Source organism: Homo sapiens, chromosome 12 (genome assembly GCF_000001405.40).
Source record: "Homo sapiens chromosome 12, GRCh38.p14 Primary Assembly".
In the NCBI taxonomy this organism is placed as follows: Eukaryota; Metazoa; Chordata; class Mammalia; order Primates; family Hominidae; genus Homo; species Homo sapiens.
This window is the reverse complement of record NC_000012.12, coordinates 86,470,352-86,498,340: the sequence shown is the minus strand read 5'-3', so window position 1 is coordinate 86,498,340 and position 27,989 is coordinate 86,470,352. Positions and strand designations below refer to the sequence as shown.

The window sequence follows — 27,989 nt, the reverse complement described above, 5'->3', positions numbered from 1 at the left end:
GTTTATTGGAAAAAAATATACATATAAGTGAACCTACATAGTTCAAACCTCTGTTGTTCAAGGGTCAACTGTATATATCTGATTAGGTTGGCTGCATATACTTGAGACAATTGCCATAATCAGGGACTTTTTAAAATAAGTCTCAAATAGAATATACAAATGAGAAAAGTAGGGAAAAACAAATGCCCCAAAGAAAGTATTGGTGATATTGCACTCAGAAAGAGGAATATGTGCTTACGACCAAAATACAAACAAAAATCTACTACAGTAATGGCACATAAAATGTTCATAAGCACAGGTTAGAATAAAGATTATTCAAAAACCAAAAAAGATTATATAATATAATATATAAAGATTATATATATAATATATATTTATAATATATATTTTATATATTATATATAATATTATATGTGTGTGTGCGTATATATATATATATATATATATTTAGGAATTTCATGAGAAAATTAGCAATCTGGTAAAGGTGAAAAGGCCAGTTTTTTGAGAAAAAGAATTTGCATAGAGCTATAGCAATTGAAGGTGAAAAATAAGCAAAATAAGCATCACCATGCTAATTGGAAATAATGGGGCACAATACAGTCAAACTTCATGAAAAGGTAATTTGTTAAAGGAACATGTACTTTCATGTTGGAAATGTAACCTGAGTCCTATGCATCCTGGAAACGCCATAAAGTTATCTGGTATTATGAGAATGGGTCCAGCATACTCTGAGAGTGCCCTGACACTGTCATATATTTTATAGCTTCTAGCTTTACTGTCTAGAAATGAAGGCATTCAATATGGTTGGGAAAAGGGGGTCAAAATCCATTTCTGGTAAAGAGGAATTTGATTAGGTCTGAACACATTAGCACTAAATCAATTTATCAATGAGCACAATAAAAGTAACAATTTCCTTGTTTTTAACATTATTATTCAAGTACTATGCTGTAAAATATTGATAAAGGCAATTTCTATATTCAATTTCTTCTCCTTGTCAAAGCATCAAAAACGCTGCTTTAACTTTGAAATGACATGGCTCACAGGTATATACTCCAAAGAGCCTAATTTATCACTGGTTAATTCTTTGGATTATTTTCTTAGTGGCAACTTGGTTTTGTTAATGACATAAATCATGCAGAAAGGAATTAAGTAATTTAAAATCAATTACAAGGAAGTACACATTTTGAATTAAAAATAATTTTAATTAACTAAGTTCTTAGCAATTGTAGCCATCTGGATTTTATTGAAAATATTTGCATTTTTGTAATATCTAAAGTTGAAAAAGCTATGTATTATGTGTTTAAATTTTTAATGTCTTTTTACCTTTAATTTGAAACTGTAAATAGAGGTGATAAAGTTTAATTATATTTTCCTTCTTAGAATAAATCTACTGATATCTGCTTTCAAATTCATATCTATTAGGGTTCAATATGGTTTTATGGGAGACCCATATAGGTAGTAGGTACATTTTCTAGTATGAACTACAGTCATTATAAAAATACTCAGAGCAATTACATGACTCATACATTATTTAAAAGCATTTAGTGATGAACGTTTTATAAAAGGCTGAATGGTGAGCTCAATTACACTGAGCCAATTATAGAAGTGTTTTTCATAGTCAGTGTTTACCTTTTAATAGAACATTATGTATATATAAATATTTATTGTATGATCTTCCATGCAATCAGATTTGTTAACAATTTTTCAAATATATAGCTTCTCTTTCTTGAAAACAACACATTTTGAAAGAACAATCAAACACATTTATCTCATTTTTACAGATATTTTAAGCATTTCTGAAACATTATTAAATTTATTACCACATAATTTTAGGTATTGACATTCATGACTCTGTATAATGTACCTTCTCTAAAAAGATTGAGAAAGTGAATCTCAGTATTTTCCTGTGAGAGCTTATTTTTTTCTTTGAGCTAACATGTCTGAAATCATTCTAATAATTATTACGCTCATTCACATTGGAAATGGCTTCTGCAAGATAAGTACTAGGGTACAACTATTAGTTAGAGTAAATAGCATAACAAATAGGCTTAAATATCTGAGGAGGAAACCAATCAAAATTCTTTTATTGCTCATGTGGTTGTCCGCAAGAGAGCCACTCAAAACCCAGGCTCTGTCCTGGGTTTTTGTCTTTATCACTCTATAGGTCCCATCATCAAATGCATCCACTAGAGGAGGGAACAATTATCTAGGTCCTGCTGCTGACAGCATAGAAAGACAATCACCGAGACAGTAAGTATTGCTAGGGCAGAAGTCACTGTTTGGGTGCTGTAGTGAAGGAGGTAGGAGTTAAGTCTCAAATCCATCTCCCTATCCCCAACCAACTACACTCAGAGGTTTATATAGCGGGGCAGGAATGTAGCTACATGTAGGAAAACAGGAATTAGGGAAGGGTTAGGAAGAGGAATTGGTAAAAAGTAATTAGGGAGGGGTTAGAAAATCATGATGGGTGAGGGGTCTGGCGTCTTATTGTCTGGATGTAGTCATCTGGTGAGTTTTAGTTTCTTGTTTGAGGAAGAAACTATTATGAGTTACTGAGGAAGGAACTCATAATACAAAAGTAAGTTTCAAGTTTTAAGACATGGAGGGTCAATTTCTCTTTATTCAAACAACTGTAAGCATCAGTTCTATGGGATAATTAGGCCGGTTTCACCATCCCCACAAGAACTTCCTGTAGGTATCTGCTACTCTTTCCATCTGGGATCCAGATTAAAAACACTTACAGTACAATTGAATCAAGCAGATCTGCAGCTTGAAGTGGTGGTGCCTAGCTGAGCCCAGCCTGGACACACAGAACACCAGCCAGTCTTCAAATACAGGCATAATGCAGATGTGAATGGCAGGGCCATCCTATGCACTATAGATGTGGAAAATAAATTATTATTTTCATTTGCCACTGAGCTGTTGTGGTTGTTTATTACATACAATTTCTGATAGGTATAATTCCTATATTTATATAAAAGCAAATATTACAGACAATGTCAAACTCTCTTTGTTCTTCCTTTAGGTCCTATTTCTTTCCTCCTTTTCCTCGAATAAGCATTCGTATGCAGATGACGGGGGCCTTCAAAAGTAATTTCCATAATTTTACTATATACTGTTTAAATGTTGTGTGTGGTCTGCTGCCTATTTATCCTCTCAAGAGAATATTTCTGCGTTCTATACCTATTGATATGCAAATAAATAGTTTATAAAGATATTTGGGTATTTCTAATGTTTAGAGTGAGCAGTGGTTAAGAGTAACTTTAGTGTATATTCTTAGAAGTGGAATTGCTAGATCATAAGATGTGCATATTCTGCATATTCTTAGAAGTAGAATCACTAGATTTTTAGATGTGTTTATTTTCGGTTTTATTAGAAATACATTATATTCCCAACTTCATTCTTTCTCATTGTCGATTATCATCTGATGGTTATTCAAACATATCTTATTACTATTTCTGTTTAAATTTCCCTAGTTATCAGAAAGCTAAGAACACTTTATGTTTTACTTATAATTCAATCCCTTTTTCTTTGATGAACTAGTTGCCTATTTTTATTATTTCCTCTATTTCTCTATTTGAGTTGTCTTTTTGTAAGTCAAATGTCAGAATGCTTTGTATTTTCTGAAACTAAAATTTTATGTTAAAATATTTTTCCCTATCTCTACATTTGTTTTTAATTTCTTCCTGTAGAAGATTTTAAAGCACGTTTTTTTTTTAAATGATTGCTATGGTTTGTGGGGTTTCTTGCATCATTTATACAATGCTTTCTATCATGAAATCACATAACTAAATAAAATATATTTCTTTAATAGTCTAAGTTTTAAAATTATCACTATTTTATTATTTTGATTTATTGTTTGTATAATATGTTTAGTTTGATAAAAATAGGAGTTGTCTATATGTCAGAGAGAGAAAGACATGGGGCTAAAAAATAAAATTGAAACAAAATCTAAAAGTTTATTTTTTCTATACTAAGTATTTGAATTTTATCAAATACTTTTATCAAATAAAATTTGAACAATTTTAGAGGGCTAGGCAAGGTTTTTTTTAATAATGTGATATAAACAGTAACAATAAATAAAAAGTTGGATAAACTTCACTTCATCAAAATTACAACTTTTGATCTTTCAAAGACATATTCAAGAATGGAAAATTGCAAGCTTTCTGAAAGAATATATTGTAAAACTATACTCAGAAAAGGGGATGTGAATGACCATAAAGGGGCACAAATGAACTTTTTAAGGTGAATGAAAGGTTTTACATCTTGATTGTTATGGTGATTACATGGCTATACAAAATTACCAAAATGTTTCAATTGTATAGTTATAATAGGATATTTTATTGTATGTCCCATGTAACTCAATAAAGTAGTACTTAAAAAAAGAGAGAGAAAAAAATCGCAACATTTTCAGAGATGTTGCAAGAATACACATTCTCAGCATATGCACAAACATCTGTACCCTAAACATACGGTTTTCTATAAGCACAGGTGCTGCCATTGATGCAGGATAATTTATTTTATTTTATTTTATTTTATTATTATTATACTTCAAGTTTTAGGGTACATGTGCACAATGTGCAAATTAGTTACATATGTATACATGTGCCATGCTGGTGTGCTGCATCCATTAACTCGTCATATAGCATTAGGTATATCTCCTAATGCTATCCCTCCCCCGTCCCCCCACCCCACGACAGTCCCCAGAGTGTGATGTTCCCCTTCCTGTGTCCATGTGTTCTCATTGTTCAATTCCCACCTATGAGTGAGAAAATGCAGTGTTTGGTTTTTTGTCCTTGCGATAGTTTACTGAGAATGATGATTTCCAGTTTCATCCATGTGCCAACAAAGGGCATGAACTCATCATTTTTTATGGCTGCATGGTATTCCATGGTGTATATGTGCCACATTTTCTTAATCCAGTCTATCATTGTTGGACATTTGGGTTGGTTCCAAGTCTTTGCTATTGTGAATAGTGCCGCAATAAACATACGTGTTCATGTGTCTTTATAGCAGCATGATTTATAGTCCTTTGGGTATATACCCAGTAATGGGATAGCTGGGTCAAATGGTATTTCTAGTTCTAGATCCCTGAGGAATCGCCACACTGACTTCCACAATGGTTAAACTAGTTTACAGTCCCACCAACAGTGTAAAAGTGTTCCTATTTCTCCACATCCTCTACAGCACCTGTTGTTTCCTGACTTTTTAATGATCGCCATTCTAACTTGTGTGAGATGGTATCTCATTGTGGTTTTGATTTGCATTTCTCTCATGGCCAGTGATGGTGAGCATTTTTTCATGTGTTTTTTGGCTGCATAAATGTCTTCTTTTGAGAAGTGTCTGTTCATGTCCTTCACCCACTTTTTGATGGGGTTGTTTGTTTTTTTCTTGTAAATTTGTTTGAGTTCATTGTAGGTTCTGGATATTAGCCCTTTGTCAGATGAGTAGGTTGCAAAATTTTCTCCCATTCTGTAGGTTGCCTGTTCACTCTGATGGTAGTTTCTTTTGCTGTGCAGAAGCTCCTTAATTTAATTAGATCCCATTTATCAATTTTCGGTTTTGTTGCCATTGCTTTTGGTGTTTTAAACATGAAGTCCTTGCCCATGCCTATGTCCTGAATGGTAATGCCTAGGTTTTCTTCTAGGGTTTTTATGGTTTTAGGTCTAACGTTTAAGTCTTTAATCCATCTTGAATTAATTTTTGTATAAGATGTAAGGAAGAGATCCAGTTTCAGCTTTCTACATATGGCTAGCCAGTTTTCCCAGCACCATTTTATTAAATAGGGAATCCTTTCCCCATTGCTTGTTTTTCTCAGGTTTGTCAAAGATCAGATAGCTGTAGATACGCGGTGTTATTTCTGAGGGCTCTGTTCTGTTCCATTGATCTGTATCTCTGTTTTGGTACCAGTACCATGCTGTTTTGGTTACTGTACATTGTAGTATAGTTTGAAGTCAGGTAGTGTGATGCCTCCAGCTTTGTTCTTTTGGCTTAGGATTGACTTGGCAATGCGGGCTCGTTTTTGGTTCCATATGAACTTAAAAGTAGTTTTTTCCAATTCTGTGAAGAAAGTCATTGGTAGCTTGATGGGGATGACATTGAATCTATAACTTACCTTGGGCAATATGGCCATTTTCACAATATTGATTCTTCCTACCCAGGAGCATGGAATGTTCTTCCATTTGTTTGTATAGTCTTTTATTTCATTGAGCAGTGGTTTGTAGTTCTCCTTGAAGAGGTCCTTCACATCCCTTGCAAGTTGGATTCCTAGGTATTTTATTCTCTTTGAAGCAATTGTGAATGGGAGTTCACTCGTGATTTGGCTCTCTGTTTGTCTGTTATTGGTGTATAAGAATGCTTGTGATTTTTGTACATTGATTTTGTATCCTGAGACTTTGCTGAAGTTGCTTATCAGCTTAAGGAGATTTTGGGCTGAGACAGTGGGGTTTTCTAGATATACAGTCATGTCGTCTGCAAACAGGGACAATTTGACTTCCTCTTTTCCTGATTGAATACCCTTTATTTCCTTCTCCTGCCTAATTGCCCTGGCCAGAACTTCCAACACTATGTTGAATAGGAGTGGTGAGAGAGGGCATCCCTGTCTTGTGCCAGTTTTCAAAGGGAATGCTTCCAGTTTTTGCCCATTCAGTATGATATTGGCTGTGGGTTTGTCATAGATAGCTCTTATTATTTTGAGATACATCCCATCAATACCTAATTTATTGAGAGTTTTTAGCATGAAGCGTTGTTGAATTTTGTCAAAGGCCTGTTCTGCATCTATTGAGATAATCATGTGGTTTTTGTCTTTGGTTCTGTTTATATGCTGGATTACGTTTATTGATTTGCGTATATTGAACCAGCCTTGCATCCCAGGGATGAAGCCCACTTGATCTTGGTGGATAAGCTTTTTGATGTGCTGCTGGATTCAGTTTGCCAGTATTTTATTAAGGATTTTTGCATCAATGTTCATCAAGGATATTGGTCTAAAATTCTTTTTTTTGGTTGTGTCTCTGCCCAGCTTTAGTATCAAGATGATGCTGGCCTCATAAAATGAGTTAGGGATGATTCCCTCTTTTTCTATTGATTGGAATAGTTTCAGAAGGAATGGTACCATTTCCTCCTTTTACCTCTGGTAGCATTCGGCTGTGAATCCATCTGGTCCTGGACTCTTTTTGGTTGGTAAGCTATTGATTATTGCCACAATTTCAGAGCCTGTTATTGGTCTATTCAGAGATTCAACTTCTTCCTGGTTTAGAGAGTTCTGTAGATGCCTATGAGGTCCGCTTGGTGCAGAGCTGAGTTCAATTCCTGGGTATCCTTGTTAACTTTCTGTCTCGTTGATCTGTCTAATGTTGACAGTGGGGTGTTAAGGTCTCCCATTATTATTGTGTGGGAGTCTAAGTCTCTTTGTAGGTCACTCAGGACTTGCTTTATGAATCTGGGTGCTCCTGTATTGAGTGCATATATATTTAGGATAGTTAGCTCTTCTTGTTGAATTGATTCCTTTACCATTATGTAATGGCCTTCTTTGTCTCTTTTGATCTTTGTTGGTTTAAAGTCTGTTTTATCAGAGACTAGGATTGCAAACCCTGCCTTTTTTTTGTTTTCCATTTTCTTGGTAGATCTTCCTCCATCCTTTTATTTTGAGCCTATGTGTGTCTCTGCTTTCCTGAATACAGCACACTGATGGGTTTTGACTCTTTATCCAATTTGCCAGTCTGTGTCTTTTAATTGGAGCATTTAGTCCATTTACATTTAAAGTTAATATTGTTATGTGTGAATTTGATCCTGTCATTATGATGTTAGCTGGTTATTTTGCTCATTAATTGATGCAGTTTCTTCCTAGTCTCGATGGTCTTTACAATTTGGCATGATTTTGCAGTGGCTGGTACCGGTTGTTCCTTTCCACATTTAGTGCTTCCTTCAGGAGCTCTTTTAGGGCAGTCCTGGTGGTGGCAAAATCTCTCAGCATTTGCTTGTCTATAAAGTATTTTATTTCTCCTTCACTTATGAAGCTTAGTTTGCCTGGATATGAAATTCTGGGTTGAAAATTCTTTTCTTTAAGAATGTTGAATATTGGCCCCCACTCTCTTCTGGCTTGTAGGGTTTCTGCCGAGAGATCCGCTGTTAGTCTGACGGGCTTCCCTTTGTGGGTAACCCGACCTTTCTCTCTGGCTGCCCTTAACATTTTTTCCTTCATTTCAACTTTGGTGAATCTGACAATTATGTGTTTTGGAGTTGCTCTTCTCGAGGAGTATCTTTGTGGCGTTCTCTATATTTCCTGAATCTGAGTGTTGGCCTGCCTTGCTAGATTGGGGAAGTTCTCCTGGATGATATCCTGCAGAGTGTTTTCCAACTTGGTTCCATTCTCCCCGTCACTTTCAGGTACACCAATTAGACGTAGATTTGGTCTTTTCACATAGTCCCATATTTCTTGGATGCTTTGTTCATTTCTTTTTATTCTTTTTTCTCTAAACTTCCCTTCTCGCTTCATTTCATTCATTTCATCTTCCATCACTGATACCCTTTCTTCCAGTTGATCGCATCGGCTCCTGAGGCTTTGATGCAGGATAATTTCTTAACTCCTTTGCAGGACTCCTGACAAGGGTGCCTCATTTACTCAGCCCACATGGTTCAACCCCTCGGAGGAGGGAGTGTATGAGCAAACAAGTGTGGCAACTGGCCAGCAGCTTCAGTGCCAGCAGGAGTTAAACTTCATGCATGTCCCACAGTAGCATCCAGGTCAGGGTGCCTGTGATCCCAATGCCCCAGAGGGCATGTTACAATGCTCTTTTAGGTCTGCTGTCCACAGATAGCAGTGTGTTATCAGCTCAATAGGCCCTTTGCCTTGTAGTTTGGGGCAGCTGCCCTCTGGCAGCAAGAGGAAAGGGCTAGTGTGACAGCCTTTTAGGGTACCCACACTTGGTGTGTCCCAAATTCTTGTGCAGTGCCCAGAGGTCTCTCAGAGGTCGCATGTCCAGAGGTCACACAGATGAACTGAAAGGTGATGAATGTAGAGAATTTTACTGGGTGATGAAAGCAGCTCTCAGTGGGGAGGGGAGCTGGAAAGGGGACACGAAGTGTAAGTTGCTCTTGCCTGAAGTCAAGCCACCTCTCTACCTCTCTCTTCTGAAGTTAAGTTGCCTCAACCAGCCACTGTCTCTGAAGTTAAGTCGCTTCTCCCTGATATCCAGCTGCTTCTGTCCTCTGCTGGCTGAGTCTGGGGTCTTTATAGGCACAAGATAGGCACAGGGCAGGCTGTAGGTAGTTTTGGAAAAGGCAACATTCGACTGGCAAAAAGATGTTATTCAGAGAGCACCAGCTGGGTTAGAGTGGGCACACAGGGATAGAAGCTCCCACTTTGGGCCACAGATTTCAAGTTTTTTGGCTTGAAGGTGGGGTTTTGCCAGGGACCCACCTCTGTCTGCCCAGAATTTCTCTGTCTCCTATTGTTACCACTCTTTTTAAAATAACCACATTTTTTTTGCTGTTGAAATAGAAATTTATTTTAAAGTATTATTAATTTTATTCTACCATTTATAGCAGCTAATAGAACTTCAATCATATGATATAATGTGCTCTGATATATCTTAATGTTAAGAAGGACTGTTATGCTTGAAAGTTCTTGGGTGCAATGTTGTGAAGAATAATCTCCAACTGAGAAATAATACGGTTCCTCATAGATTTTAGAATTGAGGTTCTTATTGGGAGAAAAATCAGAGAACTGAAGACCACTGAAACTCTTCAAGCCATTTATTGGAAGTGAAATATATAAAGGACAGAATAAATCTAATTTGCTTACTCACTGGATAGTTCAAGAGAGAAAACAAAATCTAGGACATTGTAGGTATCTGCCTTAGATAAATTAGTGAATGATGTTTTGTTTCATTTTGGGTTTTTTGTTTTTTTTTTTTGAGACAGGGTCTCACCCTGTCACCCAGGCTGGAGTACGATGCCATGGTCACCACTCACTGCAGCCTCAATCTCCCTGGCTGAAGCGATACTCTTGCCTCAGCCTCCTGGAGTAGCTGGAACTATAGGCATGTGCCACCATGCCCAGCTAATTTTTCTATTTTTTTTTTTTTTTTGTAGAAAACAAGGTTCCACTGTGTTGCCCAGGCTGATCTCAAACTCCTGGGCAACATACTGAGAATTCACTATGTTGTAGGTCCACACTATCCTCTCACTTCAGCCTCCCAAAGGTGTTGAGATAACAAGCATGAGCCACTATGCCCAGCCAATATTTTGCATACTGTGTTTTTATTACTCTTATGTTACCACTGATTTCAGGCAGCTAATGCTACCTTTCTTAATCTATATCTTGTGAGTTATGAATTAAAACGCTCTTATAGTTTCAATCCTGGTTTTATTCCTAAATGATTTCATTAGCTTACAAATAACATTCCACATTCAAAATTTATTTGTTTTTATTTTGATATAAACTTATGATGTTAAGAAAGTAAGGTTTATTTTAGACGCAATGTTTATTTATGTAAAAACAAACTTTTAACATTTATGTCAAGCTAGTAAAATTACAGAAATTTAACAACTAAAGTAAGTCTCCTGGGAAACTTTCAGGAAAGAATAGTATTTAGAATAAAATTGGAAGCTTAATTTTCTTCATTGCTTTATTTGTGATTGTATTTGAAATTTCAAATGGCATAAAAGTCAAATTACCTTAAAATGACATATTATGTAAATATATTTAAACTTAACCATTGGTAGTTAGAAATAGAAAATCTTCAGACATTTGTCAAACACATACTAACTTCTTCAGCTCTAAGAAAATCAAGAACCCCTAAAAGAGCACAATTATAAACATCAAAATTCGGAAATACTTGTTTTCTAAATTGGTAAGTTTATGACAACTAAAGTCAATAGCCACTCCAAAACTTACGAATAAGAAATAAAGACCACCTTCCAGGAGTTCAAGCAATGCAGATAATTAAGTCTGATCTGCAAAGTCACCTTTTGGAGCAAAACAATTTCCAGGGCTTAGTCCTAACTGGATACATTCAAGGAAAGAATACATGTATCAAAGTGGAAAGTTGGAAAACTAGCTCTAAGGCATTATATATCAGTATCTAAATGTACACTAGTTAGGAGTAGGAATGTTCTGGCTCTTGTATTAATAGATCTCTTTCACAGAGAATGATCCCTTTAAACACTGGTACCAAATGACTCCATTGCTATTCAAGAAATCATCATTTGCTTGTTTTACAGAGAGAGAAAGACGTGACCATGATAGCATAATTATTCTGATTCTTCTGTCACAGTTATTGTTATAAATTAAAACGATTGGAACTTCAGTTTATACACCAGTCTCTTGCAAGCATTCAATTGATATCAGTCTTTCCCCTGATTGGTATATCCATTTTAAGCACTCAGATAAAACTGCTTTGCTGAGCCTGAAAATTTGACGATTGATTAATTTGCAGAATCCAGATCTCTAGGCAAAGACTCCCAATGTTTACTCACTGGGTTTAACTATCAACAGACTGACGTTAAAACACTCTGTCTTTTAAACTTAAAAAATAAGAATGTTTTGTGGGCACATGAGAAGAATATATAAACTGTGATTGTTGTGTGGAGTATTCTCTAGATGTCTGTTAGGTCCACTTTTGTGAGTGTTCAGCTTAAGTCCAGAATTTTTTTGTTAGTTGTTTGCCTCAATAATCTTTCTAATGCCATCAGTGAATTATTAAAGTGTCCCACGATTATTGTGTGGGTGTCTAAAACTTTTCATAGGTCAAGAAGAACTGATTTTATGAATCTGGGTACACCAATGCTGGGTGCATATATATTTAGGATAGTTAAGTCTTCTTATTAAATTGAACCTTTATCCCTTTTTTTTCCTTCTTGATTGTTGGTGGTCTCAAGTCTGTTTTCTCTCTTGTAAGAATAGTAACTCATGCTCTTTTGTGTGTGTGTGTGTGTGTGTGTGTGTGTGTGTGTGTGTGTGTGCATGATAGATCTTTCTCTGTTCTTTTATGTTGAACCTGTACATGTCATTAGATGTGACATGGTGCTCTTGAAAAGAGCAGACAGTCGGGTCTTGTCTTTTCATAGACCTTTCTACTCTATCCTCTTTAAGTGGGGCAATTAGACCATTTACGTTCCAGGGTAGTATTGATATGTGAGATTTCAATCCTGTCATCATGTTGTTTGGCAGTTGTTTTGTAGACTTGATTACATAATTACTTAATAGAAGAGCTATGTGCTTATTTGTGTTTTTGTGGTACTGGGTATTGTTCTTTTGCTTCCATGTTTAAGGACCTTTTATAAGGCTTGTCTAGCGATAATGGATTCCCTTAATGTTTGCTTGTCTGAGAAGGATGTTATTTCTCTTTCCTTTATGAGGCTTAGTTTGGTGGGATATAAAATTTATGGTTGGAATTTCTTCTCTTTAGAGATGCTAAAAATAGGCCCCGATGTCTTCTGGCTTGTAAAGTTTCTGCTGAGATTTTCACTGCTATCCTGATGTGATTCTCTTTGTAAGTAACCCAACCCTTCTCTCTAGCTGCTGTTAAGATTTATTTTCCTTCACTGATCTTGGTGAATATGATGATTATGTGTCTTGGAGGTTGTTGTCTTATATAGTACCTCACAGGGGTTCTCTGTATTTCTCAAATTTGCGTGTCAACTTCTCTAGAAAGATTGGGGGCATTTTCATGGATTGTATCCTCCAATATATTTTCCAAGTTGCTTACCCTCTCCTTTCTCAAGAATGCCAGGGAGTAAAATGTTGTATTTCTTTACATAGTCCCATATTTCTTGAAGATTTTGTTCATTAAATTTCTTTTCTTTATTATTAATTTCTGAGTGAGTTGACTTGAAGAACTAATGTTCAATTTCTGACATTCCTAATTTTTGGTCTATTCTGCTATTTATGCTACAGGCTATATTATGAAATTCTTGTAGTGATTTTTTCAATTCCAGAAGTCTGGTTTGCTTCTTTCTTAGAATGGCTCTTTTTTCCTCAGCTCTTAGATCATTTTATGGGATTCCTTGGATTTCTTGGATTGGGTTTCAACTTGTTCCTGAACCTTGATAAGCTTATTTGTCATCCAGATTCTGAATTATCTGTCTGTCATTTCAGTCTGGTTAAGAAACATTGCTGGAGAACTAGCATACTCATTTGGAAGTAAGAGGACACTCTGACTTTTTGAATTGGGATCATTCTTATGCCGATTCTTTCTCATCAGAAGCTATTGTTCTTTGAGTTTAGTATAGTCTGTAAGCTTTGTTTCTGAGTCCTTTAGAAGGAAAAGCCTTTATACAGGATTTTTATTTGTGGCTGGATTCTTGCCCTGGGTGTCACAGGTAGTACATACTGGCAGAATATTTTTGATGTTGTAATTTGAACTGTAATCTAGTAGATGGTGCTTAAGAGTAATGGCCAGAAGATAGCCTCTAAATCAGCTGTGTGGCTATATTGTATTTCATTGAATTCACAGTGGTGCTTTTTGGTGGGCTGGGGAAAGACCTGACCCCACTCACCAAGCCTGCTCTTGGGCCTTGGGGGAGCCTCCTCTGATCACTGGTGCCATGTCCACATTTCCTTTGGCAGGTGTTCTGGGCATTTGGGCTCTCTCAGGAAAGGCTGTCGGGCTGACTGACAGGTCTCACTCTTCCTGGACCAGCCCTGTGATTGGAGCCACAGCCCACTCCCACGCCGGTCCACAAACCCACATTTCTCACCCCTCTCAGTGTTCTGAGTGTGGGGGATCCTCCCATGCTGCATGCTGCAGCCCTGAGGGATTGGGATCAACACTCAGCTACATCCTTTTGCCCCTCGAGATCAGACACTGGCTGTGTTGGGGGATCCTAACTACTCTCAGCCTACTGGGAAAGTACTCAGGTGGGACTGCAGGCAAAGCACCAGGTTGGGCAGCAGAGGCTGTACTGTGCACATACGTCTGTGAGAGTAGCCAGGGAGGGGCCTTAAGCCAGGCTAGCAGGCAGGGGAACATGCAGAACAGATGTACCCAGTCCTGCAGGAAAGTTGGTTCTGCTCTCTCTTGGCCTGGTGGCCAGCTGGGGTTAGTTAAAGCTTTTCAGAGAAAGACAGAAAGCCTCTAGAGAAGGGTGCCTATGGTGGTGTTCCACTGCAGCTACCTCAGAACACAGAAGCTCCTCGGCTCTGCAGCATGGGTCTCTGTCTCTGTCTACTCTCTGGGCTGATTCTCCTGTCAGTTCAAATGTCTTTGGTGTCATGGCATCTCTTGTAGCTGGGATCCCAGAGATCTGCTGTGAGAGTGGTCCACCTCACCATCCCTTTACTCACACCTTCTCTAGAAGCTGATCTGGACTGGAAATTAGCCCTGGCATTCAGCAACCCTGCACAAGATTTCATGCTTTTTTGCTCTTTAGCCACAGTGTTTACCTTGCGTCTTTAATAACTCTTGTTGTTTTCTCTCTAAATATTTGTTTAAAATATGTTGGTGTACTTGATATTTTGGTCTCTCTCTGTGCAAGTGGCACTTCCTGGCTGCATCTAGTAGGCCATCTTGTCTTAACATCAAGATCACTCTAATGACACCAGGGAGAATGGCTGGAAAGGCATGGATGAGTGAGGCAGAAATGAAGCCAAGTAGGAGACTTACAGGCTCTACTGAAGTCTAAAGTTCTGCAAATAAATAAGTGCCATATGAATATGTTGGAGTGAACTGATTCAGAAAATAATAGAATCACTCTCCATAATGCAAATGAGCCCCTTTTGTCTAAAATATAAATATATTGTCACTGCCTTTACACTCAAAACTTTCATTTTATGCACCTAACATACTTTTCTAAGTAAACTGTACTTCCAATAATTTGCACTCCACAAAACCTTTTGATTTTCCTTCAAGAAATGTGGACTTTTCTATTTAGAATAGAAACAATACACACTCATCTAATTATATGTTTATAAAATACTTCAAACTAAGAATTTTGGGGGGTAAAATGTTATTTATTAAATAATAGCCTCTATAAAGAGGAATTATATCTCTTGTTTTTGTTCCTGCTCACTCATAGAAAACAGTGCTGTAGACTGAATGTTTATGTCTCCCTAAAATTCATTTGTTGACACCTAATGTACAATGTGATGATATCTGGAACTGGGACTTTTTGGGTGGTAGCTAGTTTATGAGGGTACTACCCTCATGAACAGGACTGGTGTTTTCATAAAAGAAACCCAGATAGCTCCTTCACCCCTTCTGCCATGTGAGGACACAACAAGAAGAAGGATCTAACCATCCTCGATATTGAACTTCTCAGACGTCAAAACTGTGAGAAATAAATTTCTGTAGTTTACAATCACCCAGTCTATGATATTTTGTTATAGCAGCCAGAAGTAACTAAGACAAACTAATGCCTTGAACTTTTATGTAAGAATCACGATACATTTGTAAATAAATACAAGAAAGAAATATTAGCATTAAACCCAGTTATTCTCCTTTGAAATTTATAAACAAGTAGAACTGGTCAAATAAAACAAATTACAAAATTTACATTTGCTCTGCTAAATAAATATGAAATTGTAAATTCTGTGACCTAAAGAAAATTATGCGTTGTATCATATATGACTATAATTTCATTGGACATCTTAATTAATCTCTGACAATCTTTGCAACTTCACCCAGGAAAATAGACTTTATACGTTAGAGAAAATTTGTTCTAACAAGCTGAAAACTTTTAAATACGAAAACACTTCTAAAAATTCTAAAAGATATTTGAAAACAGTATATTTGTAATACTTTCTCGAGAATAAATAAGGTTGGAATTCTGTTCAACAACATATACATTTAGAAGGTAGAAAATGTAAATTACTAAGATCATACTCATGTAAACTTCAATCCTTTGAATTTTTCATTTTTTAAAGAGATTATCCTTATCCCGAGTATATATATAATTAAAAATAAAAATGTGTCAACTTTTTCAAGTTGATAATTATAGAAAACATTATAACTATGTCAATCTGCTGAGAATTGAAGACAGAATTGATAGCAGTATTTGGATTCTCAAGAGTAACTTTACTAAAATGTGATATCTATAAATTTTGTTGCTCAAGCATATTTACACAGTTTTTTAATTTAGCTGATTAAAAATTGTGTAAAAATAGTGTAGTGTTGTTCTAATGTTTGTTTGTAGAAGTGGAAATACCCTTATCAAATTTGAAAATGGTCTAAGAATACTTTGGTATGAAAATACAACTTATATCAATTTATTCTGTTCTTTGAAAAAGAAGACTTGCTTGTGTGTGTGTGTGTGTGTGTGTGTGTGTGTGTGTAGTGACATGTTTAGAAAATACAAATAAGAAAAAAGAGGACTGTTTTACAACCTAGAAATTGTCACTATCAGGGATATTTTAATATATGCTGCCCTAATAAATAATATATATGTTTTTAAAAATACATTATTGTATTTAGAACATATTGTTAAATACAGGTGGTGGCTCATGCCTATAATTCCAGCAGTTTGGAATTGCTGAGATGGGAGAATTGCTTGAGGCCAGAAATTCAAGACCAGCCTGTGAAACATAGCAAGACCCCATCTCTTTAAAAAAAGTGAAAAATAAATAAAAATATATTATTTATACGTACCATGTTGTTACCATTTTAGTTGAAAAGAAACTTTAAATATTTTTCAATATGATTTATTTTCTTTCAAATCATTTTGGATAGTTAACTAGAATTCTATTATGTGTGTGTGCGTGTCTGCATGTGTGTGTATAATGATAATCATATCCATATTGCTGGACATGTAGATGCTTCTAATTCTTTATGTATATGTATGTGTATGCAAATAATACTGCTATGAAGATTCTTGCCTCTAAATATTGTGTATCTCTTTGACATTTTAAAAAATATAAATTCTGGAAATGGAAATGCTACATCAGAGGGTAATACACACATTTATGTCTCTTAATCTGTGTTGTTAGACTAAACTCCAGAAGGTTGTGTCAATGCACACTGCTAACAAAAGCATATGAGAGCAATCATTTCCCTCACACTAAGTTTTGTAACTTTAAAAAAATCTTTGCCAATTCCATTTGTCCTTGGTGTTAAGTCTAGAAGACAATTATTTCAGGCTTCTTTATAACCCTCTAGACTGAGCTATAAAAGAAAGCTGTACATTTTTTACCAAGAAAATTTTAAAAAGAAAATGAAATATACATGTTTCCTATACAAAACATTAGAATTTATAGCATTATAAACCAATAGATGCTTATTAGGTTTAACTTTTATTAAGACATTTAGATATCCCTCATTGTCTCTTTGATGTTTGTTATGATCACTGCTGGGATTATAGGCATGTTTTATTTTGGAATGTTTTGTTTTACGTTGAAAGATTGTATTTCTCACATTCTAACATTTTCACAATAATATATGGGTAGTTTTACTTCAAAGTGACTGGGTATTTCAGAGTGTGGAAAATGTCCTGATGTGATTAAGGAAGAAGAGAACCTATATTCAAATTCAGCAAGAAGAAAAAAAAAGAAACAAAAACAATACAAAAGGTTGTTTTATTGTAGAGAAGGGAAGAGAGCATCAACAGGAATAAAAATCATTTAGCACCTATTTTGTGTTAATTGCAGCAAAGTTGGAGAAATAAAGAGTTACAGCAATATGTGTTTTTATAAAAACTATAAGTAGCATGTAACTATCAAATTTGTATATACATATATACACACATACGTACATATGTTTATACATCATTAACTACTTATACATACATATGTATATGTGTACATATCTATATATGTATACATACATATGTATATGTGTACATATCTATATATGTATACATACATATGTATTTGTGTACATATCTATATATGTATACATACGTATATGTGTACATATCTATATATGTATACATACATATGTATATGTGTACATATCTATATATGTATACATACATACATGTTTATATGTTGGATATATATACTTATATGTACACATGTATGCATATGTATACATTTACATAAACATTAAAAAATACCCTTTGAGTTGTCAGGCTGTGTTTCTCAAATATTACCAAATTGCCCTAAAAGCTAGACATATTTCCTCTCTTGTTTCATTTTGTTTCCAAAAGCAGCAAATGTTGATTCTTTATTACTTATACATGAAAGAACACTTACATGTTCTCTAATGGCAAGAGTGGTTTTTACAATGCAGTATTTCTTTAGTGTATTTTTTTCCAAAACTTTTATAGAAAATAAAAATAATATGACTGTGTCTTCCAAATAAATTTGTGTAAATTTGAATCATAATAGAAGCATAGATTTTAAATTTTATCATAAAACTATATGCTTACCTAATGAACAAGATATTTATTTAGGGTATTATGTATTCATGTAAAATTGACTAACGGTTAAATTAACTTAGGATCCTTTCTCTTTCCAAAGTTAATGATAATAATAAGTATTAAAAAGGCATTTTGTTTTTCAGTGTTTAGTCAGAGTAACTTCCAAAGTGTGATCAGTTTTCTATTCTAGTCTTTTTTGCAACTTTGATTTCTAGGATTTTTCCTTACTCCCAATTTTATTTTTGATGAGGCTTAATCCTACCAACAATTGCAGCTAGATGTAGGTAACTTTGAAAGTGAAAAGGCTCCACTCTTGCTCTATAATAAAGTCATTTCGCTTACAAAGAGTACCATAAATTGCTGGAGATTGCTGACAGTTGTTATAGACATTTTTTATAACTATAGTCATTCACTGATCTTTCTTTTTATCATTTAAATCAAATTTGGGAAGAGTTGTTACTGCCCAAGGTATTTCAAGTATAAAAAAAATAGCTAAGGTAACATATCATGTGACCTTTTAGAAGATGACTATTTCAATGTGAATCTTTTTAGAGTTTGACCACCCTAACTCTTCTAAATAGCAATACACAGTTATTCACACACACACATGCATACATGCAGGCACCTACCAGCCCTACTCACTTTACCCAAGAGAGTATCATGACTATACTTTAAACCATAAGAAGATTTGAAAATTCTAGATAGTATTAAAAATGCTTTCCTTGCTCTACTATTTCTTTATAGTATTGATTAATTTCTTGCATACTTCAAAATTTATATATTCATTTTTATATTGGCAGGCTCTCCTCTTTGTAAACTTTTAAGAACAGAAATCTTTGTCTGTTTTCATACACTGTTGCATCTAAATGGATGAAACAGGTACTGACACAGAATAAGTTTGTTGAATGACAAATGTAAATTTTTCATAGTTTAGAAAGTCTATAGAATTTGATTTTTTAAGATATGAGGAAGTGTTCACTATTATGCTGTTGGTTTGCTTGCAATACCTTTGCTAATTAATTCAGACAATGTGGTGTAAAAAAGTCACGTGTCCTTCAAATATGTGAGATTTCAAAACAAAAATTTTAATCTTAGGACTAGGTTAAATAATTTATTCTGGAATAACTCAGGACTTTATTTTAAAAATAGATATTAAATAATTTAGACATTCTGGGTTTTATTCTTTTTCACATTACTTAATATTAATAGTTGGATAGATCTGAGAAGCTATTTCAATATCCCTTCCTCAGTTTCTTTAAAATGGTTATTAATAATAGCATAATATGGTTGTGAGGTTTGAATTACTTGAAAAATTCAAAACAAAGGTTGAATAAACTATGATCTTGAGAAAGATTTTCAAATCTTGCAAAAAGCTCCAGTGTTAATCAGGGAATTTGAATTGCCATGGGCAGTAAGTGGGGAACTGACTTAGATATTTAAAGAAAACAACAGAAAAACCTGAATTTTAAAATTTAGATGAACTACCAATATTTTTGTTGATATTATTGATACTTAAGTCAATCACAATATCAGCAAATTTGCCAATTTGAGATGACATAGATCTAAGGATTTACTTAGTTCACTGCTCTTTTCCACTTCTTGGTTCTCCTCGCTCTGGCAGTTCACTATGTTACCTGTTCCACAGATCCTGAATACATTACTGTTCATGCCTAAGGGCTTTAAAACAGACTGAAAAAGACTACATACTATTGTGTCTAACTCAAAAAGGAAAATACTTTTCAGTCTTCACATGACATCTTTTACATCTTTCTTTCACCCTATTGTCATGAACATCACAACTACTTTTCTAATTCTTACTGACAAATCCACAAAATTCAGTTGCTAGACTGGCCTCTGACCTCTCTCCTGTATATGAGTATGCCATTTAGGCATCCACCTCAGTGCCTGTGATAAATTATGAACAACTTGAAGTTAGGGACTGTTTACTATTTAATTTTTAATCTACAGTGATCTTGTAGTGCCTTATAAAATCCACAGAAAATAAAATTATAAACAAAATTTCTCAGCTTGAAAATTCGGAAGTAAAGTAGAAAATATGAAATGCTCTTAAAAGAAAATGTGCAAATTTGTAAGTCCAAGTTAGTTCGAAGACTGTTTTATACATTAATCTGCTTTAAGGGACATGGATGAAGCTGGAAACCATCATCCTCAGCAAACTATTGCAAGGACAAAAAACCAAACACCGCATGTTCTGACTCATAGGTGGGAATTGAACAATGATAACACTTGGACGCAGGAAGGGGAACATCACACACCGGGGCCTGTTGTGGGGTGTGGGGAGAGGGGAAGGATAGCATTAGGAGATATACCTAATGTAAATGACGAGTTAATGGGTGCAGCACACCGACATGGCACATGTATACATATGTAACAAACCTGCACGTTGTGCACATGTACCCTAGAACTCAAAGTATAATAAAAATATATATATATAAAGAGAAAAAGGACATTTTTTTATCTGCGTTTTTCTTTCAACTTTTATTTCAGCTTCAGCGGGTACATGTGCACGTTTGTTACCTGGGTGTATTGCATGATGCTGAGGCTTGGGTACCAATGATCTTATCACCCAGTAGGTAGCTTTTCAACACTTGTTCCCCCTTTCTCTCTTCCTCCTCTAGTAGTCCCCAGTTTCTACTATGGTCCTCTTTATGCCCATGAGAACTCAATATTTAGCTCCCACTTATAAGTGAGAATATGTGGTATTTGGTTTTCTATTTGTGCTTTAATTATCTTATGATAATGGCCTCTAATTTCATTCATGTCACTGCAAATAACAAGGTTTTTTTAATGGCTGCATAGTATACCATGTTGTATATAGACCACATTTTCTTTTTTTTCAATGTACAAAAGTCAATTTTACTTATAAATACAACCAATAAATGATCTGAAAATATTAAGTATATTTTCACTTATAATAAGTACAAATATATATATATTTATTTTTCATTTTGGATTCAGGGGTTAAATTTTCAGGGTTGCTGCATGAGTATATTGCATGATGCTGAGGTTTGTGATATGGATGGTTCCATCACCCAGATGGTCAGCATAGTACCCAATAGGTAGTTTTTCAGTCCATGCCCCGCTTCATCATTTCCCTGTGTAGTATCCCCCAGTCTATACTGCTAACATCTTTATATTCATCAGTCCCCAAGGCTTAACTCCCACTTACATGTGAGAACATGCTATATTTCTTTCTTGTTCCTGCATTAATTTGCTTAGGACAGTGTCCTCCAGTTCCATCCATGTTGCTGCAAATGACATAATTTTTTTCCTTTTTATGGCTGTGTATTATTCCATGGTATATATGTACCATATTTTCTTTATCCAATCCACCATTGATGGGCACCTTGGTTGATTCCATGTCTTTATTATTGTGAATAGCTCTGCAATTAACATACAAATACATGTGTCTTTTTGATAAATTTTTTTTTTCCTTTGGGTATATAAACCCAGGAGTGGGATGGCTGGGTGAAATGGTAGTTCTGTTTTAAGTTCTTTGAGAAATCTCCAAACTGCCTTCCACAGGGACTGAACTAATTTATATTCCCAACAACAGTATATAAGCTTTCCCTTTTATCCAAAGCCTCACCAGCATCTGTTATTTTTTATTTTCTAATAGTAACAGAAAATGGGATGGTATTTCATTGTGGTTTTGATTTGCATTTCTCTGATGATTAGTGATGTGGAGCATTGTTTCATATGTTTCTTGGCCACTTGTATGTCTTCTTTTCAGAAGTGTCTTTTGAGAAGTGCCCATTTTTAATGGGGTTATTTGTATTTTGCTTGTTCAATTGTTTAAGCTCCTTATAGATTCTAGATATTAAACCTTTGTCAGATGCATAATTTGTGAATCTACCCTTGGTCTACATTTTTACGTAATGTATAAAGAATATTGCATCATATTGTATTTTATACTGAAAATTTGATAAAATGTAGATTTTAGGTACTGTTAACACACAGACACACGTGCACACATGTACAATGAGACATTACTATGGAAGGTGATGGATGTGTGAATGTGTTTACCTATAGTAATCATTTCATTATCTACTTGCATATCAAAACATCATGTTGTACACCTTAAATATACACAATAAAAAACACACAAAGTAAAAAATAACACAGAAATTCTCGGTAAATGGTGAGTGTACAATAATTCATGGCAATTATAATGATGATAATTAAATAGTTTAAAATTCATGACAGTTTATCATGCTTACTTTGTATCAATTTGTATTTATAGCAGATATATTCAAAAGAAATGATTGTCATGAAAGTTGCTGTACCCAAAATATTGGCTATCACATTTTTAATTTCTGCTTTTCTATTAACATAAATTATTTATAGTGACATTGAACAATATACCCTTGAAAACATATTTTAAATGTTAATTATATCAAGAAAAGAGAGACCATAACTAAAATGAAATATAATTCATGCTTTCTATACAACATATAGATTCTGTGTCATAAAATCATGGCTTTTTTCATAAAATCTTTTCAAATTGATGACTAACAATTTATTATATTTGAAATTATGCAGTTATTCCAACTTGTGTAGTAAAAATCACATTAACACCTCAATTTTATAATGACTTTATGCATTTTTCTGCATGCATTGTAAACTTCAATCTTTTAAATAATATATAAATTTTTGTCAATTATTTTTCCAGTATTCTCTGCAATTATCTTTGTGACCATTTCGCAACCAAATTCTATTTGGTAATTATTTATAGAATTTTATATCCTGAGTATTCTACTAAAAACTTTTTACTATATTTTATTTAATCACTAAAACAAATGTTTGAGTTAGTGATTAGTTTCCTTCCATTTTGCAGTTGAGGAACCTAAGTTTTAAAGAGTTTGAGAAGTTTATCAAAAGTTACATTGCAAATAAATAGGAGTATTGGGGAGCTGAAAAAGAGCATTCTGACTTTAGTCCTTAATTTTCAAGCTATACTATCTCTGTTATATGAGTTTACTATTTTTATAATGCATATTAACATATATTCAGTTAAGTGCTAAACTTCTAACTTTGTATTTTTATTTTAAATGTGTTTTTAGGACACTTGATCAGTTTACATGTGTTTTTATACATATACTTTTTGTGCATATATTTCAATTATTGACTGGTTGGAATTTAAAGAACCTATTTATTTGCTTTGTACAATGCAGGAAGAAACTAATGCATTTAAAAGGTGTCCACATCTTGCAAAAATAAAAAGAGATAGGGTAAAAACATGCATAGCATTGAATTCGCCATTAATCTGACCATATCCCCATTTGACACACTAGAAAACCTCTATTTACTGTTAAATGATGGGCTTTCTTATAAAAAAAAAAGAAAACCTGAAAAGCCAGAGTATGAATCCTTGTCATTTATACAATTCATAAAATCAGTTTAACCTCCCCAGATGTAAGTGTGTGTATTTGTAATTTAGTTACTTAATTACTTCTAGTCAAGGGGGAGGTTTAAACATTTCTGTTCCTTTCTTTTATTATTATTATTATACTCTAAGTTTTAGGATACATGTGCACAATGTGCAGGTTTGTTACATATGTATACATGTGCCATGCTGGTGTGCTGCACCCATTAACTCATCATTTAGCATTAGTTATATCTCCTAATGCTATCCCTCCCCCCTCCCCCCACCCCACAGCAGGCCCGGTGTGTGATGTTCCCCTTCCTGTGTCCATGTGTTCTCATTGTTCAATTCTCACCTATGAGTGAGAAAATGCGGTGTTTGGTTTTTTGTCCTTGCGATAATTTGCTGAGAATGATAGTTTCCAGCTTCATCCATGTCCCTACAAAGGACATGAACTCATCATTTTTTATGGCTGCATAGTATTCCATGGTGTATATGTGCCACATTTTCTTAATCCAGTCTATCATTTTTGGACATTTGTGTTGGTTCCAAGTCTTTGCTATTGTGAATAGTGCCTGACTTTCTTTTGCTGAAAAAGGATCTCGTTAGTATAGTCTACCCTGGGGATACTTTGGAAGAGGGTCAGAGGGGAGTATGGCATTATATAGCAGCAAAGAAACAAAAAATCTGTGACACAATCTTGCTTTTCATTTTATCCATTGATAGAAACTTCTGCTTTCTGTTGCACAGTGAACCCTATCATGCAAATTCTCCATAGTCAGATTTTGTGAACCCTCATGTCTCAAGTATATTTGACCTAAAAAGGCCCGATTCTCTCCCACTTGCAATTACTTATTAAAGATGGACTTTATTCATTAAAGCAAAAATGATTGAATATCACTCTATCTTAGGGAAGCAAATTTAGAAAGTCTTAATATACAGTTTAATAATAAATGATGCAGTAGGCAGAATTTCTTTTAATCTTTTAAAAATAACATTATTATGCAATATTGCCATTATTTGAATTCATCCTCCTAAGACTGCTTTATGCAGTTTCTCAAGGCTCTTGAAGGCAGTAAATGGCATATTCTTGGTCTTCTTATTCCAAATGGTGTCTCTTTTCTTATGACAGGTCCAAGATCTTTTCTTAATTGTAACATTGTTTTCTCCATCAATCTCTGGTAATGAGTAAACTTTTAGCTATTAGGAAATATGTATCAGTGATAAATGTTCTAATGGGAATATGCATGAAGAAAGAATCAACATCTGAAATCTTAAAGAGGTGCAAACTCTGATCACAGCAGTGGTTTGTCAGAGTTGGCATTACTTGCTGTCTGGATGTCATTTCGGATTTCTTGGTGATTGCTCTCCATTCCTACTTTCACACACACAAAAAAGAAATCAGGCCCGGTGCAGTGGCTCATGCCTGTAAGCCCAGCACTTTGGGAGGCTGAGGCAGGCAGATCACTTGAGGTCAGGAGTTCGTGACTAGCCTGGCCAACATGATGAAACCCTGCCTCTTCTAAAAACACAAAAAATTAGCCGGACGTGGAGGCGTATGCTTGTAATCCCAGGTATTTGGGAAGCTGAGGCAGGAGAATTGCTTCAACCTGGGAGGCGGAGGATGCAGTGAGCTGAGATTGCACCATTGCACTCCATCCTGGGTAACAGAGCGAGACTCCATCTCTAAATAAATAAATACGTAAATAAATAAATATCTAGCTTCTTCCTCCCTTCCTCTCTTTCTCATTTTATTTCTCTTCCGTACTAACAATAAGACATTCTTCCTGTGAAAGATCTTTTTCCAATTATTTCATTTTCTTTCTTCTTTTAACTCGACTGTAATTAAATATCTGTGACTCAAAATTTATACTTGTTGGTCACTTAATCATAATTTTATAAGACTACTAAGACTCAAAACTGCTTCTAATACAAAACTTGAAAATGCAAATATCTTAGTTTGTACTGGAAAGTATTTGTTACAACATCCCTCTCCTCCAGAATAAATCATATTACTAAGATAGAACACTTGGAACTTTTAAGCTAGAAGAAAAAAAATCTATAATAGTAAGATTTTAGTTATATAACACAACAATAATATATATAGATGGATGAAAATAAATTAGAACTTCATTCTTCTTAATGTAAGCCTTCTTTAATGAATATAGACTTTTAATTGAATTAAATATCATACTTAGCTAAAAATCAGACTACCAAAACCTCAGATGTTAGAGAAATAACTGTGAAGGTAAGGCAAAAAAGGATCTGGTCACCAATAAATATATTTGCTAAAGACAGGAAACCTCCTTAGGCACTTCCCTTTAGCAAATTTAATGAAAATTCTACATAAACAAAGTTAAGTCTTTTCATAGGCCTTATAATCTGTCTCATTTTCTAGGTAACCAGAATAGCAGCAATAGTAATCTTCAAATGGCCTACAGTCGCTGGAGGCAGACACATAGGAAGGAGACAAAGTATAGAGGCAAAAGTTTCTGAGATTATCATTTTATTCCACTCCATCCTACAATTGGTGCCCTAATGGGAACATTTTTAAAAATTAGAGCATTAACTTAACTTTACGAAGAGGTAAAGTATGCACCATTGATAAATGTTCTAATATTTTAGGAAAATACTTTGCCATATGCAGTTAAAATACAAAAACTATTGGCACTTAAAAGAAATAACATGTACCAAAATGTTTATATGATAAAAACTGTATTAAAAATGTTTACTAATATTATCAATAGTATTTATAAATGCCATAATTGTTAGATTAGTGAATTCTATGATTTGGAAAAATCCACTTCCATGGTTCATAGCATTTTCAAGTAATACTATGTAACATATAATACTTTGAATGATAGTAAACAAAGGCAGTATTCTATTTGTTCATTGTAATTTACTGTCTACCCAATTCAGCTTCTCTCTTCTACATCATTTTAAGGGTTCACTCATCTGCACTGAATCTTCTACTCTGTGGCTTACTCCATTTTCTCTTAAGCCAAAATTTTCTCACATCACGGACTTAATTTTATGGGCTAGAACTTATGGGCTAGTACTTCAAATAGTATATTCTATATAGTGCATATTCTTACTTTGTGCCTCTACTTCTCATTTTCTCCTTTTTTTGTAAGTATTTAGTATACTGTTTAATTTGTGGGCTTCCTATCTGTAACCTTTTTATATTTTTGTATTTTTTCCTAGGGATTGCAATATATGTGCCTAAATTATCACACTTTCTTGAGTTAATAACTTAATATTTCAAGTAAGATGTAAAATACTTATAGTCCCATACATCATTTTACTATCCCCTAGTGGCTTCTATGTTATAGTTGTCATATATATTACATTCATGTACATTGAAAACTCCACCAGATAAGAATGTTTTCTTTCAAGAGTTATACATATTTTTTAAAAACTAAAAGTAGAAAAATTATCTTTTATGTTTATCTAGATATTTACCATTTATGTTGTTCTTTCTTTATTCCTGAAGGTTCATATTTCCCCCTGGTGTTAGTTATTTCCCTCTAGCCTAAAAAACTTCTTTTAACATTTCTTTTAGATATGTCAACAGTAAATATTTCTGGTTTACCTTCACCTGATAATTTTCTTATTTTGTCTTCATTTCTGAAATATATTTTTGCTAGATATAGAATTCTGGTTTTGTGGCTCTCCTTTAGTACTTTTGAGATGCTGTTCCATGGTCTTCTGGCTGTCATAAATGTCTGATAAGAAGTCCATGGTCATTTAAAGCATTGTTCCTCACCTAAGAAGTTAAGAATAATATAAAGGAAGTAAATACATAGATACGGAGAGGAGCAGAGAAAGAGAAAATAACATATTTATGTTATTTCGCTATTAGTATATGGTTGAAAATGATGTAAAGTTTCAGTGCATTATGATTACAATAATAACTATGACAATACATGCTGTAAAACTAAAAGATACACAGTTGCAGATATCCATAATATGATTTAAAATATGCCCTTTGCCTATTGCAATAAGTCTAAATAGTATTTATAGTTTCTACTTAGGACACCAAAGCAAAGTAAATAGAGACACTGTATCAGTTTAGAATAAGATTCAATTCCTAAAATAAAAAAGCAAATAAGCTGCAAGAACACATTAGAGATTCATTTCTCTCTCATTTATAAAAAGTCTTCTGTGGGTTGAATGATAGGCTCACATTTGGTGTTGGGGGAAGGGAGTGGAGTGTGGGCTGTCTTATTTCTCTCTCATCCTTAGCATAGGATTCCTTCCTACTTCAGTTCTTCTTGTCACCCAAGATAGAGTCGAAGTTCAGTCCTCA

General features: G+C 34.4%; 1 protein-coding gene across 3 annotated transcripts in view, besides 1 other annotated feature; it reads left to right on the top strand.

Annotated features, from left to right (window-relative positions):
- MGAT4C (MGAT4 family member C) overlaps positions 1–27,989 on the top strand; it is an 883,334-nt gene that overhangs the window by 340,660 nt on the left and 514,685 nt on the right. The window contains exon 3 of one of the 3 annotated variants that reach the window (NM_001351285.2): positions 3,026–3,090. The exons of the other annotated variants lie outside the window; for them this stretch is intronic. The gene's annotated coding sequence lies outside the window, so the exon portion shown is untranslated. The remainder of the gene's footprint in view (positions 1–3,025; positions 3,091–27,989) is intronic. 3 annotated transcript variants of the gene reach the window in all.
- Positions 12,916–13,541: an enhancer, noted in NCBI's record as "NANOG-H3K4me1 hESC enhancer chr12:86878577-86879202 (GRCh37/hg19 assembly coordinates)". NCBI's record gives its function as "activates a minimal SCP1, AML or CMV promoter by ChIP-STARR-seq in primed H9 embryonic stem cells {active_cell/tissue: H9 hESC(primed)}" and the evidence as "EXISTENCE:reporter gene assay evidence [ECO:0000049][PMID:30033119]".